The 13,734-nt window shown below is 40.4% G+C and overlaps 1 protein-coding gene across 19 annotated transcripts in view, besides 1 other annotated feature; it reads right to left on the reverse strand.

The window, feature by feature from the left end:
* SYBU (syntabulin) overlaps positions 1–13,734 on the reverse strand; it is a 117,623-nt gene that overhangs the window by 14,774 nt on the left and 89,115 nt on the right. The window lies entirely within an intron of this gene.
* Positions 6,807–6,886: an enhancer, noted in NCBI's record as "active region_27812". NCBI's record gives its function as "activates an Ori minimal core promoter by ATAC-STARR-seq in GM12878 lymphoblastoid cells {active_cell/tissue: GM12878}" and the evidence as "EXISTENCE:reporter gene assay evidence [ECO:0000049][PMID:35858748]".

Genomic DNA, 13,734 nt, shown 5'->3' on the forward strand with positions numbered 1-13,734 from the left:
AAGGAAGGAGAGGCATTCTTTATTCATTTCCTTTAAACAGTGTATGCAACTAAGGTATTGTTTTCAGTGCTCTTTGGGGTTATTAAAATCACGCACAGAGTACCTAACCTAAAAACATAGAAACTCGGCTGGGCATGGTGGCTCACGCTTGTAATCCCAGCACTTTGGGAGGCCAAGGTGAGTGGATCACCTGAGGTCAGGAGTTCGAAACCAGCCTGGCCAACATGGCAAAACCCTGTCTCTACTAAAAATACAAAAATTAGCTGGGTGTGGTGGTGAGCGCCTGTAATCCTAGCTACTTGGGAAGCTGAGGCAGGAGAATTGCTTGAACCAGGGAGTTGGAGGTTGCAGTGAGCCAAGATCATGCCACTGCACTCCAGCCTGGGTGACAGAGCAAGACTCCATCTCAAAAAATAAAACTAAAACAAAAAACAAAACAAACAAAAAGAAAAAACGTAGGACCTCAGCTAGACAGCCTGGATTCAAAGCCTGCTCCTAACCCATATTAGGTGGAAAGTTTTAGCCAAGTTACTTCACTTCTCTGTGTCCCAGTTTCCTAATTGGTTAAATAAAGATGATACTCATAGCACCTGCTTCATGGGTTGCTTGTAAAGAATGAATGTCATCCTCATCAACAGTCTTTGTTCCTCATCAATATTGTTTTCGATCAGCTGCCAGGTTAGTGGAGTGTTATCCCAGGACTGAACAGACAGGATGAATTTGATGACCTTTAAGATAATGCTCTGATGCCAAACGCTTGGTGACTAAGCATCCTGCTGCAGAAGGCACTTTTCCAACTCTCAAGAACCTATGCCCAGTGGCCTCCAGAAGTTCTGGCAGTTTTTTGTTTTCATAGCACTGCTGAACTCTTTTGAGAGATATTCCTTTTATTTATAACGTTAGGATAATAAGCGTTCTGTGCATGTATGCTAACGCCAGGGAATTAGAAAAGGAAGGAAAAATGAAAACAAAAAGAATACGTGCCCAAACTGATAACTAACTAGACTTATTTTTAAAGCACTGCCTGTAATCTGGTCTCTTAGGACATTATTAATTTTGCCTGTTTTCAAGATATGGAGCAGTCCTCATACATCAGAACATCACAGTATAGAACAATCCTGAGATCTACTAAGCAGTATTAAGCCATTCTAAAACACTGATTTAAGTAACCCCAAGCCCTCTCTTATCTTTTATCACTGCAAAGCTATCAAATTAATTCAGGTTGGACCACCTCAAATAGAGGCAGTAAATTAAAAAAAAAAACCCACCTAGTTCCCACCCTTCTCTCCCATCCTCCTTCTCCACCCATCCCCCCAAAATACACATATTTTTAAATGTACAGGTCTCCAGGGAGGAGAGAGGAACCATTTTCACTGAAGCTAAGCACAGCTATTAAGGAGCAGCAGGAGCAACGGACACACGCAATTATAGAAGACACTATTAAAAGAAGCTGCTCTAAAGTACATTCAGTAGAATGGACTCTTAACTGCTAAGGCTTGGGGGGCCCAGCCAAGGTATCCAAGAAACGCTTCACAGCCTAAAAAGGGTTTTTGTTTTAGTTTTTGCAAATTACTTTCCTGAACCCCGTATAGGTATTTATCTCAGAAAGGGAATATTTGGTTAAATGAGCCATACATTGATAAGATACATATACAGGTGTTTTTTTTTTTGCATTTTGAGAATAAAAGTATTCTTGAAAAATTGTAAATGTAATTTCCATTTATATTATAGTTTCAGAAAATAGTTTTCTTCATTCTGATTGATGTTTAATTGACGGAGCTGCCATATACTTAAAATAACACACACACACACATAAACAGCTAAACACAAAAGAAGAGAAGTTCAAACTTAAAGTATTTAGAAGTGAATAATTTGTATTGATAAATCCAACTATATGAAATGAAACTGCTTATGGGAAAATAGCAAGGTCAAAGACAAATAGATACACTGAAAAAATATTTCTAACACATGATAAAAGGTTAATCTCCTTAATTTACCAGAAGCTCATAAAATTAGAAAAAAAAAAAAACTAACAGAAAAATGGGCCAAGGACATATTAGGCAGATGAAAGAAAAAGAAAAACAAATGGCTGATACTCATGAAAAGCCATATAATTTATCAACACCACTAAAAATATAAATGAAGGTAAGGAGACTGTTTTCATCTATCTGATAGGCAAAAGAGTCTGATAATACCAGCTCCATTAAGGGTTTGTGAAAACAGAGTTAGTAAGAGTGTGAATTATGCTACATGCATAAAAAAGAAAACTGTACTGCTAGGAATTTATTCTGCACATAAGGATCCAAAAAGACAACCTAGTTGTCCATCGACAGTGACTGGTTAAATCAGGTGGTATAGCAGCAGCCTAAGAGAATACTCCGCCATCGTGAAAAGGAGTGACATGATCCTGGGTGTGTCGAAGTGAAAAGATATCAAACACCTGTTACTAGATGAGAAAAACAAGATGCAGAAAAGTGGGTATGGCAAGTCTGCTTTTTTTGTGAATAAATCTTTAGATAATATGTAACCTGCCATATGCACAGAACATTTTTCTTGAGGGATAAAATGATCTGTTAATAGCGGTGTCTCTTGGGAACAGGAAAGTGTGGATATAAAGAGACTCTTATTTTCATTTTATTATCTTTCTGAGCAATTTGGCTTCTCTAACCATGTGCACATTATTCGTATTATAAATTATATATAGGAGTGCACTGATGTATGAACAATCCATTTTTTCCTTTTAAAAAAATGTAAATTTTTTTTTTTTTTTTTTTTTTTGAGACGGAGTCTCGCTCTGTGGCCCAGGTGGGAGTGCAGTGGCGCAATCTCGGCTCACTGCAAGCTCCGCCTCCCAGGTTCACGCCATTCTCCTGCCTCAGCCTCCCGAGTAGCTGGGACTACAGGCGCCCGCCACCACGCCCGGCTAATTTTTTTGTATTTTTAGTAGAGACGGGGTTTCACCGTGTTAGCCAGGATGGTCTCGATCTCCTGACCTCGTGATCCGCCCGCCTCGGCCTCCCAAAGTGCTGGGATTACAAGCGTGAGCCACCGCGCCCGGCCAAAAATGTAAATTTTTAAGGGAAATTTTTTATAATAAGAGTAGTCACACCATATTATGTAGTATTAAAAGAGTTCTGGAGTTAAGACACCTGGGTTTGAATCTTGGCTCCTCTACTTGCTCTCTGTGGTGCCTTGAGGAATGAATTTACCCTCTCTCTGCCTTAGTATCCTCATCCATAAAATAGGGATGAGGTTATTAATATTAAGAATTGCTAAAAGATTATGGAAATTCAGGTGAAACATGCAAAGAAATTAGAACAATGCCTGGCATACAGCAAGCCCTTAATAGTACCAGTTTAGCTGAAACTACTGGTACAGTGGCCCAAAGGCCAGAAGATGGCTTCTCAAAAAAGGTCTTGATTACATCTATCCCTTAAAAAGACCTATAATAGGAAATGCTTTTTTCTACTCATACATTTTTATAATTACTCTTTACAAAAGGTGGTTTTCCTTTTGCCATTGTTCAGCAAAGAGCATGTTTCTGTTTTTTAATTCTCTTTCTGTGTGTGTGTGTGTACAATAAGATGTTTCCAAAGATCCTGATTCTAAAAGAGACTCCCCATGGACGCCTCCAAAAAGTTCTAGAGTCTCTTGTGGTTTAGAACTCTGCCTTCTGAAAGTCCCAGGGGAAATACTAGTAGGTTTACTGCAGCTCTCATCTTTGCAGGGCCCAGTCTCCTGAGCTAGGTAGCTTGGAAGGTCTGAGAAAGGGAGGAGGCCTTAAGGAGGCCAAGAGGGTCAGAGGCAACACCACCCAGTTCACTCCTGTACCTTGGGCTGGCTCAGCTACCTGTCTAAGCAGAAATACAGGTGACCCATCTGCTGAACAAGAAGAGTGAATCAGAGAAATGATAAGCAAAGAGGGTGTAAAGAAACTTCAATAAACAAGGAGAAGTGAAAGTTTCTGACCAGAAGTAGCTATAAAGCCCAGCTCCACCTGTCACTAGTTGTGTATCTTGACCAAGTTTTTTTTAACTTATCTAAGCCTTACTTATATATGTATACACACACATTTTAAAAGGTTAATTTATTATTTATTTAGCAAAAAGTTATTGAGCACCTGCCATGTGTCAAATCCTGTTTTAAGTGCAAAGATAATGATTCCCATCCCATTGGGTTGCTGTGAAAATGAATTGAGTTAATGCATAGAAAGTGCTTGACACACTCATAAATACGAATCTTAAAATTATTATTAATAATGCAGTGGTTCCTAAACCTAACTGTGCATGAAGATTTATCTGGGAAGTTTAATAATAGTGCAGATTTCTGGGAAACTCTCACAAAAATTCCAGTTCAGAAGATCTGGGAGGAGGGTGGCCCAGGCATCTGCATTTTTGATAATTACTATAGCTGATTGTGCAGCAGGTGGTCCATGAACCATATTATGAGGAAGAGAGCTCCAAAGGTAAAAAAGTGCCTGGACTTTCTCTCCAAGTTCTGTCAAATTGCAAGAGCTCTCTTCAGTGCGATGTGAACAATGAGTGAGCAGAAATGAAGACAGACAGGCCAGCAAAAGGAAGAGGAAGAAATTCACGGGCAAAGTGCACTCTGAGAGAAGAATTTAATCTACAGAATGATCTGTACCCCCACGGCTCTCCAGAAACACTTGCCTGGAGTGAATACATTATCAGAGGACTGGAGGGAAAGACAGAATGTACATAAGGCACAGGTTGTTTGAAACTGGGCCAGTTCCAGCCAAACTCATGTACACAAATGTTGGTTTGCAAAGCTAGTAGGACACTTAACAGTTGGTTCATGGTTCAAAGTCCTCATAATCCTGTTGTAAAAGAGAAGGGTCCAACCAGTGTGCTGTTGAACGTGTCAAATGCCATTCAGCAGAGAAATAACATTTCACAATCCAGCATACCCTGCACTGGGGTTATTCCATCAGTGCCAACCTGAATTTTCCATGGCAGACATGCTTCACAGCATCAAAGGAACTACACACAGGCATTCATCATCTCCCACACTGACTCAGCTCAGGAACCACTCCAGTGGCAGGCATGTCCAACGGGCAGCCCTTCCCCCACTGCCTTTCACCCAACAGGTCTGGGAAAGGTTACATCCACCGTGGTCATAAATGTCATCCTAGCTCATTATGTTGGGGACCAAGTAATAACAGAGCAAATCCTCCCTGAAGTATTTTACAGACTTGTACATGGGACTTATCTTTGATTTCTTGTCAAATTTACTGAAGTGAACTGAATTTCTACCCCCTTAAAAGAACTAGCTGGAAAGCCTGCTGCTTCTATTTAAGGAGAAGCATTTATCCAGTGTTTACCAAAATGAGATGCCTGCCCTCCTGTCTGGCAGGAAAACCTACATCAGGAAGAGCAGCACTAATGGTGGTGCTGGGTGCGGAGCAGGGGTGTCATTGCAGGAGGCATTCATAGGGGAGGAAGGAGGTGATGAAGGACTGGGAGAGAAAAATGGGGAGTGAGACACCAGGAAAGACAGAAGGTCAGGACAGGGCTAGGATTTAAGTCTATGACTCAGTCCAGAATATAAGGGAGAAGGAAAAGATGAGAATGTTTTGGAGTCACCTCATTCTCCACTCTTCTTCATCTCAGTGAGGTGGTGCTGTCTGCTTGCAATTCTAGACCACAAATGGAATAAAACACCCACTTACTGGGAAACAGATGACATAATTCACAACTCGTTGCCAAGACATCCAATGGGGCCCTAAAATAATTTTTTTTAAAAAACTCACTTCTGTACTTAAACATGGCTTTTCTTAATTGACTCTAAGACCTAACAACCTTGACCATTCAACCCCCATCTTCATCCTCACTGTGTGACAACTTCCAGGGCACACTATCTTCTCAACCCACAGGTTCCTTTCTTCCCTTGGCAGTGGCACTCAGAGTGTCAGGAAGGTTGCATATGTCTCGCACGTGGCTCACTCCCTGGATTTTCTCAGTAGCACTGACCTCCACCTCCACTGCATTTAAACAGAGCAGAGTTCTGACACTGGACTCAACCATGCTCCCCTTCCAATATCTTGACATGCTTTCACCCTCCTCTCTCTTTCTCACTTGTACTTTCAGTCTCTATGAAGTTATTTCTCTGCCTTTTTAAAAATAATATGGTTTAGTAGTTTCAGTTGCTAGCTGTGTGACCTTGGGAAAGACAAGCTCTCTGAGCTTCATTTTTTTCTATGAAAGGAGAATAATAATAGTATCTATTTCATAGAGTTGTTGTAAGGATGATGTAAGATAATATATGTAAAACATGTAAAAATAGTGCTGGCACTCAGTAAGCACTTTAAAATTTCACTATTATTTTTACTTTTCTTCTTATGATTACCCTCTTTGAACCATATCAAGGTCCCAAAACATGTGAGGCCAAAATCTGGAAGAACTTAGAACAGTGACAAGGAATGAGGCGAGGCTGTTGTGTAGTGTGAGTGGCAAGAAAGGATTCAAAACAAGCATGAAAATAAAAAAAATAAAAGATGGTCCTGGCAGAGGATGGTAAAAATTCTTCTTTTAGATTATAAGTCAGTGAGTAAATCCTCCTTAGCTGTATTGACTGAATATCCCAATTTCACAGGAAGGCCTGCAGCACACTAAACAACAGGGAGCTAATGACCCAACCCTTCTTATAGGGTCTGTGGCTCACGAATAACACATGGTGAGAGCTGTTATCTCCACATCAGTTCATATTTGTGTGTTCTCCAGCTTTTTGCTAGCACACGTGGGCTGAGACCATAGTCCTGCCTTCAGAGAGAGGCAAATGTCTTAGGAGGGACTCAAGTTAGGTGCTAAGAGAGGTCAACAATGGGAAAGACTGTTTCCTGCTGGAAGCATGAAGACTTCATGGAGGAGGCACACTGAACTAGCCAGGTTTTGAAGCCATTTACAACAATTCAGGACTGTAGCATGCAGAGCTGTGGAGACAGCACAGTGTGAAGGGAACAGCACACAGAGATGGTAATGCTGAAAGAATTAGAAGCAACAGCAGGGAATGAGGCAATAAAGGGAACTTGGAGGCAGGCGAATTTAAAACCTTCCTTAGACACAGGTCCCAGTGGTTGCCACTGGTCAGGTTAAGAGTTGCTCATATTTGACACACAGGTCTTTTTCATTTTCTAAAATTCCCACTTTCACTTCTCTAATAAAATATGCAAACATATTACCTTACTCAGAGAGGTGAAAATGAAAGAAAAGGAAGCACATATTTTTCCTATTCTAGGGATCCTACAGCCACAATTCTGTCTGAAGTGATTCCACTGACAACCCTTAATGGTCTACTGATCCGTGCCCTTCTTGATCTCCATTTAGAGGCTGAACCTGCTGACGTGTGAGGTGAGGAAGTGGCAGGTCAGAGAGTGCCATACGAAACTAAGCATGGAACTATTTTTCTATACGTGAATGACATTTCATTATTTTCTCTATGACCTAGAAAGTTGTTCTCTCAATGTATTTTTTAAAAGAGTCTCAGATACAAAGAACTGGATTAATCATAATTCTTGGTTTTTGACATTCTGTCATCATTGGCCCATGCAAGGCTATCTTTAATTTATTTATTTACTGACTGCTCTGTTTAGGTATTTATGTTTTGTTTATGTTTAATATAATAAATGAAGAAACCACCAATCCATCACAAAAACTAGAACAGTGACACTAACTTACATGCATTTATGTGGTCTTCCTTTATCTTATCCCCTGTTCACCATTTCCTTGCGTTCACTTTTACAAAGAATGATCACATCTATGTATTTTTAAAAGGTAGAATTTGAGGATTTTTGTTTTATTTGTTTTTAACTTTTTAAAATAAAACAGGTTATCATGATGTATATACAATCTTTTGGGACAATTTTCATTCAATATTATATTGCGAAAATTCTCCATATAGTTGTAGTGTGTTCATTTGACTGCTACATAATATTAGAGTGTGTGATTTTTATCCATAATTTATACTTCATTCTCCCGATAATGAGAAAATGAGTTGACTTTATTCCAGTTACTCATTTAGCTAGATTTTCCATTCTGATAAACATGTATTTGCATTTCCAGAGTCTAAGAAGAAAAATCAAGAGGAAATCTACTCTTAATAATGTATTCCATAGGCAAAAAGAAATGCTCTGTGGATCACCTGTCCTTACAGATTTGTACTTTTATTTACCCTTCTTCCTATCATTATGAATAATTAAAAGTAGTTATGAAGAGTAAAAGTAAAACTAGAATCTCTGTTTTACCTTATTCCAATTTTAGGGTCCAATATGCCTAAGGTGACCCATTGTCTCATGGTAGCTCTGACCCTGAATAGCCCTCAAAGATCAGGAATTACGTGATGCCCTGTTGAGTTTGGCTTAGGTCACTTCACAACCCTGTACTTAAGACTTGGCAAGGAGATGGGCCCATGAACATGAGAAGCTGACCCAGAGTTGCTGGATTATGCATACAACCTCATCGAGGGAGAAACCTCTTGTCCCAAAGTGGGGAGGAAGAGTGATGGGGGAAAGCTTCCCTGACGGTATGTGCTGGTGTTTAATGCAGCCCAGAACTTGTTCCTAATTCCAAGGCCTAATTCCAAGTTGCAAGCGAAGAAAAGATCATCATTTTAAGGCAAGCCCCACTGTTTTGGAGAAGGAGAAGCCACCAGTTAAGTCTCTATATTAAAGCTGGGTGCAGTGGCTCCCGTCTGTAATCCCAGCACTTTGGGAGGCTGAGATAGGCAGATCAATTGAGCCCAGGGGTTCGAGACCAGCCTGGGTAAAATGGTAAAACCCCATCTCTGAAAAAAAAAAAATTAGCCAGGCATGGTGGCATGCGCTTATAGTCCCACTACTCAGGTGACTGAGGTGGGAAGATCAATTGAGCCCCGGAGGTTGAGGCTGCAGTGAGCCATGAGCATGCCACTGCACTCCAGCCTGGGTGACAGAGTAAGGCCCTGTCTCAAAAAAAAGTTTTTTGAGTCTATATGAGGAAGTAACTGCTATGCTTTTTAGATGTTACAGGCAAAGTAAAAATTTCTATCTTTTGATTTTTATCTAAGCATCTATGTGTTAGAGCTGATGACTTGTCACTTCAAAATGTCTTTGTGAAGTTAAATGTCTGTTGAGCGAGTCAGGCAATTATGGGATAGATTTTAAACCATCCTCAGTGAGTCAGAAACATGTTTCCCAGGTGGTGCTGATGCTGCTGGTTTGGAGCCACTCTTTGAGAGTCACTGTTTCAGAAGAATGAGAAGATGACTAATTTAGGAGCAGAGGTGACATTCTGTAAGATTAAATAACTTATGGGTAGAGGTGAGACCCAGTAATATATGTTTTAATAAGCCCTCCAGGAATATAGATGCTAAAGTTTGAGGACCACTGCCCTAAGACAGGCCTATGCCTGAGATCCCCCAGCAGCTTCCTGAATGGCTGCCTCTGACAAAGTGAGAGCAGCCGGCTTGACTGTAATTTGACATACAGATACACACTGTAGTATATATTTTGGGAACATTTTTACATATTTCACATCCAAAATGAGTGAACTGCTTAATTTACTTGGCATAATACTGAGTGGTACTAACCATGCTGCATGTAATTGACAATATGTTTTTAACAGCTGTGGTTAAGAGCAGGTGCTAGCATCAGCAGATTCAGGGCTCAAATATCCACTCTTTCATTAATGACAGTGTGACCTCAGGCAATCACTTAACCTCTCTATGCCTAAGTTTACTCACTGTAAAAAGGGACTAAAAGAGTACCTATCATATGGAATTTTTGTGAGAATTAAACGCCATAATATGAACTACTGTAAGTGCACAGTAAATACTCATCATCATCATCATCATTAGCCTACTTATCCACGTGTTTGGTATGTGTGCTGCTAAACACTAAATTTTTCTAATAATTCTTCCATATGGGCACTGTAGACTATCTAAGTAATGTGATTTAAGAAGGAAAGGTATTTATTAAGTGACTAAACTCTAAATACAAGTGATAAGTTGTAGATGACCTAGTTTCTCTCGGGAATAGTTAGAAATGGCTTGTTATGTTCACACCCTGTTCAAAGTGCCTTACAGGCATTCTCATTGAATCTTCATATCAAGCATATGAAAGAGGTACAATTATTATTCCTATTTTACAGGTGAGGAAAGTAGACAACAGGTAAGTTGCTGAAGGTCACACAGCCCTTATGTGGGGATCTGAAACATCACAATAAGATTCAAAATGTGCCTTAAACACCAGGAAAGTATACCTGCGTGGAACTTCAAGACTTGGGGCAATTTTGCCACCCTCACCCCCCATCCCACCCAAAGTGTTTGCTTGCACTGAAACCTTTGAAAACACATTTACAAACAATCTGCAATAAAAAGTCTTAACGAAATCATCACTACTCTATTCTGTATCCCCCACCAGAGAGCAAACAATTAGTGAACACAGACTATACTAGCAAGGAGACTGCCCTTGCACAGTAAACCCTGGGGCTGTGTCATTCATCTACTTTCGACAAAGATAATAGGATTGAATCTTCATTCTTAAGCAAAAAGTTAACATAACAGAAATACATTTTAAAGAAGTGTTGCCATTTGAAACATCAAATAGATAGGGTTTTTTATGGTACAGTCTGAGGACCACCTGCATCAGTATCACCTGGCCTCTTTGTTAAAAATACAGATTCTTGACTCATACTCCAGATCTGCTGATTGAAATTTCTTTAAGTCAGCCTCATAATCCATTTTCACAAATTGCCCAGGTGATCTTCTACGCACAGTAATGTTGAGAAATCACTACAACAAATGCTTCTTGTTTTCAAATCTGTCTGTTTAGTAACTGTGTCATCTGTCTGCTCTTTCCCATCCTGAATTCTCCACCTGAGGCCATCATCATTTCTCACCCAGAATTACTGAAACAGCATCACACTGTGCCCAGCTGCTCCTTGTGGCCCTGAGCAGTTTGTCTTCCACACTACTCCAGAGAAGAAACCTCATTAGGCAATTCCCTTGTTGAAACTCCTCAATGGCACCCTGTGTCCATGAAGTCCAAACTCTTTAGCACGATTTACAAACCCTCCATAATCTCTTCAGACTGTCATACCATAACCACTGCCAATGGAACCATTCACAGTTTCCTGAAGGAGGCACGATAGCCTCTAGACTCCCAGCTTTCACACATGCTGTTCCCTCTAGCTGGATTATTTTCCCATCCCTCTGGGCTTGGCTAACTACTACCTGTTCTTCAGGTCTCAGTTTAGCCTTGAGCTTTACTTCCTTCAGGAAGGGGATTAGGTGGCCCTCCTTTATCTGACCCCACCAAGAATTTAACAAGTATTTATCACATTGCACTGCAATTGCCTGTTTGCTTTAACATATTTTCCAGTATGCTTGTCAGCTCCTTGAGGGCGTGTTCTTTTGTATCCCCATGTGTCACACAGGGTTTAGCACAGAGTAGGTGCTGTTGTTTTGAAATGTTATTTCACAGCATTAAAAGTTTCTCCACCATTGGCATTTAGGGATAGCTCCTCTTTCTCCTATTTTGCCCTTTAGGTTGGATTGACAGACTGATGTTATTTCCAATTAGGACAAAAATACTCCCTTCCACTCCTACTTCCAGCCTGTATGCCCAAACCTCTTAAAAGTCAAGTTTTCAGCCCAGGATACCAGCATGCAAAAACCACGCTAACTGCAAAGACCTCTGTCTTGTTCATCACTGCATCCCCAGAGCCAAGAGCACAGAGCCTGGCTTATAGGAGACTCAGAAGAATATTTAATGAATGAGGGAAGAAAGGTACCAAAAGAACTTACATATATGATTGCAGAAATGGTATCATTAACTTTGAGAAACTGGAAAGGATGGGAGGTAGAAGATTGGAAATGGGCAAAAACTCTGCAGGTCATGAACATAGAGAAAAGATAAATTCTGAAAATCACAAACTGCTGTTTGGTGTTGATTTCCAGTAAAATTGTAGAGAAAGTCCTTTAATAAGGCAAGAAGGAGCCAGCAGGAGTTCACTGGCTCAGATGTGAAAAACAATCTGCACATCCTTTTCTGAAGGAGTTAACATGGCCACATACATCACATATTTGGAGTTCAGCAGACGTTTAATGCAAACACTTAGGATACTCTTATGAACAAGGTCGACATGTGTGCATTGGGTGATAGCACAGTCCAGTACCCACGGGATGTTGACAAATGGACTGTCTGTCAACCTCTAGGGAAATCTCTAGTAACACATCACCTGGCCCTGGTGTTGTCCATATCCTATTTAACATGCTTTATTAATGACATGAATGAAATCATGGATGGTGTGGTGTTGGCGGCAGACTCCTGATTACACAAAACCTTGAAGGGATAACTAATGCATCGGATGACAGCATCAGATAATAATGCCACTAGCCACTGTGGACTCAGAGCCTACTCTGCCAAGAACTCTACAGCTGCTATTTCCTTTAATCCTTCCTCCCAAAGACATACAAGTAAAGACCAGGAAACCAAAGTTCTGAGTGATGCTGAGACTCACCCCAAATCACAGAGCTACTAAGCAGCAGAGCTGGCTTGTCTGACATCACTCTGCTTGATCCTTGTGATCAGAATTCACAAAGATCTAAGATCAGGAAACCAAGACAACAATGTTCAATCTAGTCCATCTCAACTATGCGTTAAACACTTCCTAGGCTAAGGCACTGGATGGGGGAGGCATGGAGAAACAGTTCCAATGCTCAAGGGTTTCCTAGGAGGAGTTAGACTATACAGACAAACAACCAGGATATAAGGCAGAATACAATGAGTGCAAACAGAGAGGGCGGGCACCCAGAAAACACAGAGGAGGAAGAAATCTTCTTAGCTAGGGTGAAGGGATGAGGGCAGGGGAATATGTCATGGGAGAGATGACACTTGAGATGGCCCTGATACACCAGGAAGAATATAGTGTTGGGGGCATGGACAGGAGTTGACCTTGGGTGAAAGAGATCACATGAACTAAAACACAGAGGAAGAAAAACACAGGGCATGTTTAGTACATATATGGAGTCCCTTGTATGGCTAGAATATAGTGATCATATGAGAAAATGCAGCCAAAAAGGTGAGTTGTAACCAGAGAGTTGAAAAATGTAAAAATTATGCTATGGGCAAGAGGGAACTATGACATACTGAAGGCAAGAGAGAACCATAATGAGTTTTGTTTGGGGTGGTAACATGAACAGTGATGCTTTATGAAGACAACATGACAGCAATATCTGAAGGAGAGACTGGAGGCTGGTGGGGAATTCAGGTGACTGTTACAGTTTGGAGATGGGTCATAAGGTAAGGGAAAAGGAATGCTGAAAAAGGAGACCCTTTCCAGGTAGCTCTTAGGTTCCACAAAATTAACTGTATGGGTTCAAAATCATTTGACACTCCAGATGGACAAAATGATTAAAAATAGAAAAAGGATAAAGTCAAGTTAAACATTAAAAAACACCTTTATCTTATGCCATATGCTTGACTGCAGTGCTACCCACATAAAAGAACAATTGAGTGGAGATACGTATGTTTGGAAAAGCAAACAAAATGGGAAATATCTCAATCAAATGAAAAGAACAATGTCTCTTATATATTGCCTGAAGAATTTGTGAAGAATTGGATAATCTGATAAGAATGGATTGAGGTACTCCAAGATCAATACTAGATTTAACCTCTGTGTAATTTTTTTTTTTTTTTTTTTTTGAGACAGGGTTTCACTCCCATCGTCCAGGCTGGAG

Source organism: Homo sapiens, chromosome 8, assembly GCF_000001405.40.
Source record: "Homo sapiens chromosome 8, GRCh38.p14 Primary Assembly".
NCBI lineage: Eukaryota > Metazoa > Chordata > Mammalia > Primates > Hominidae > Homo > Homo sapiens.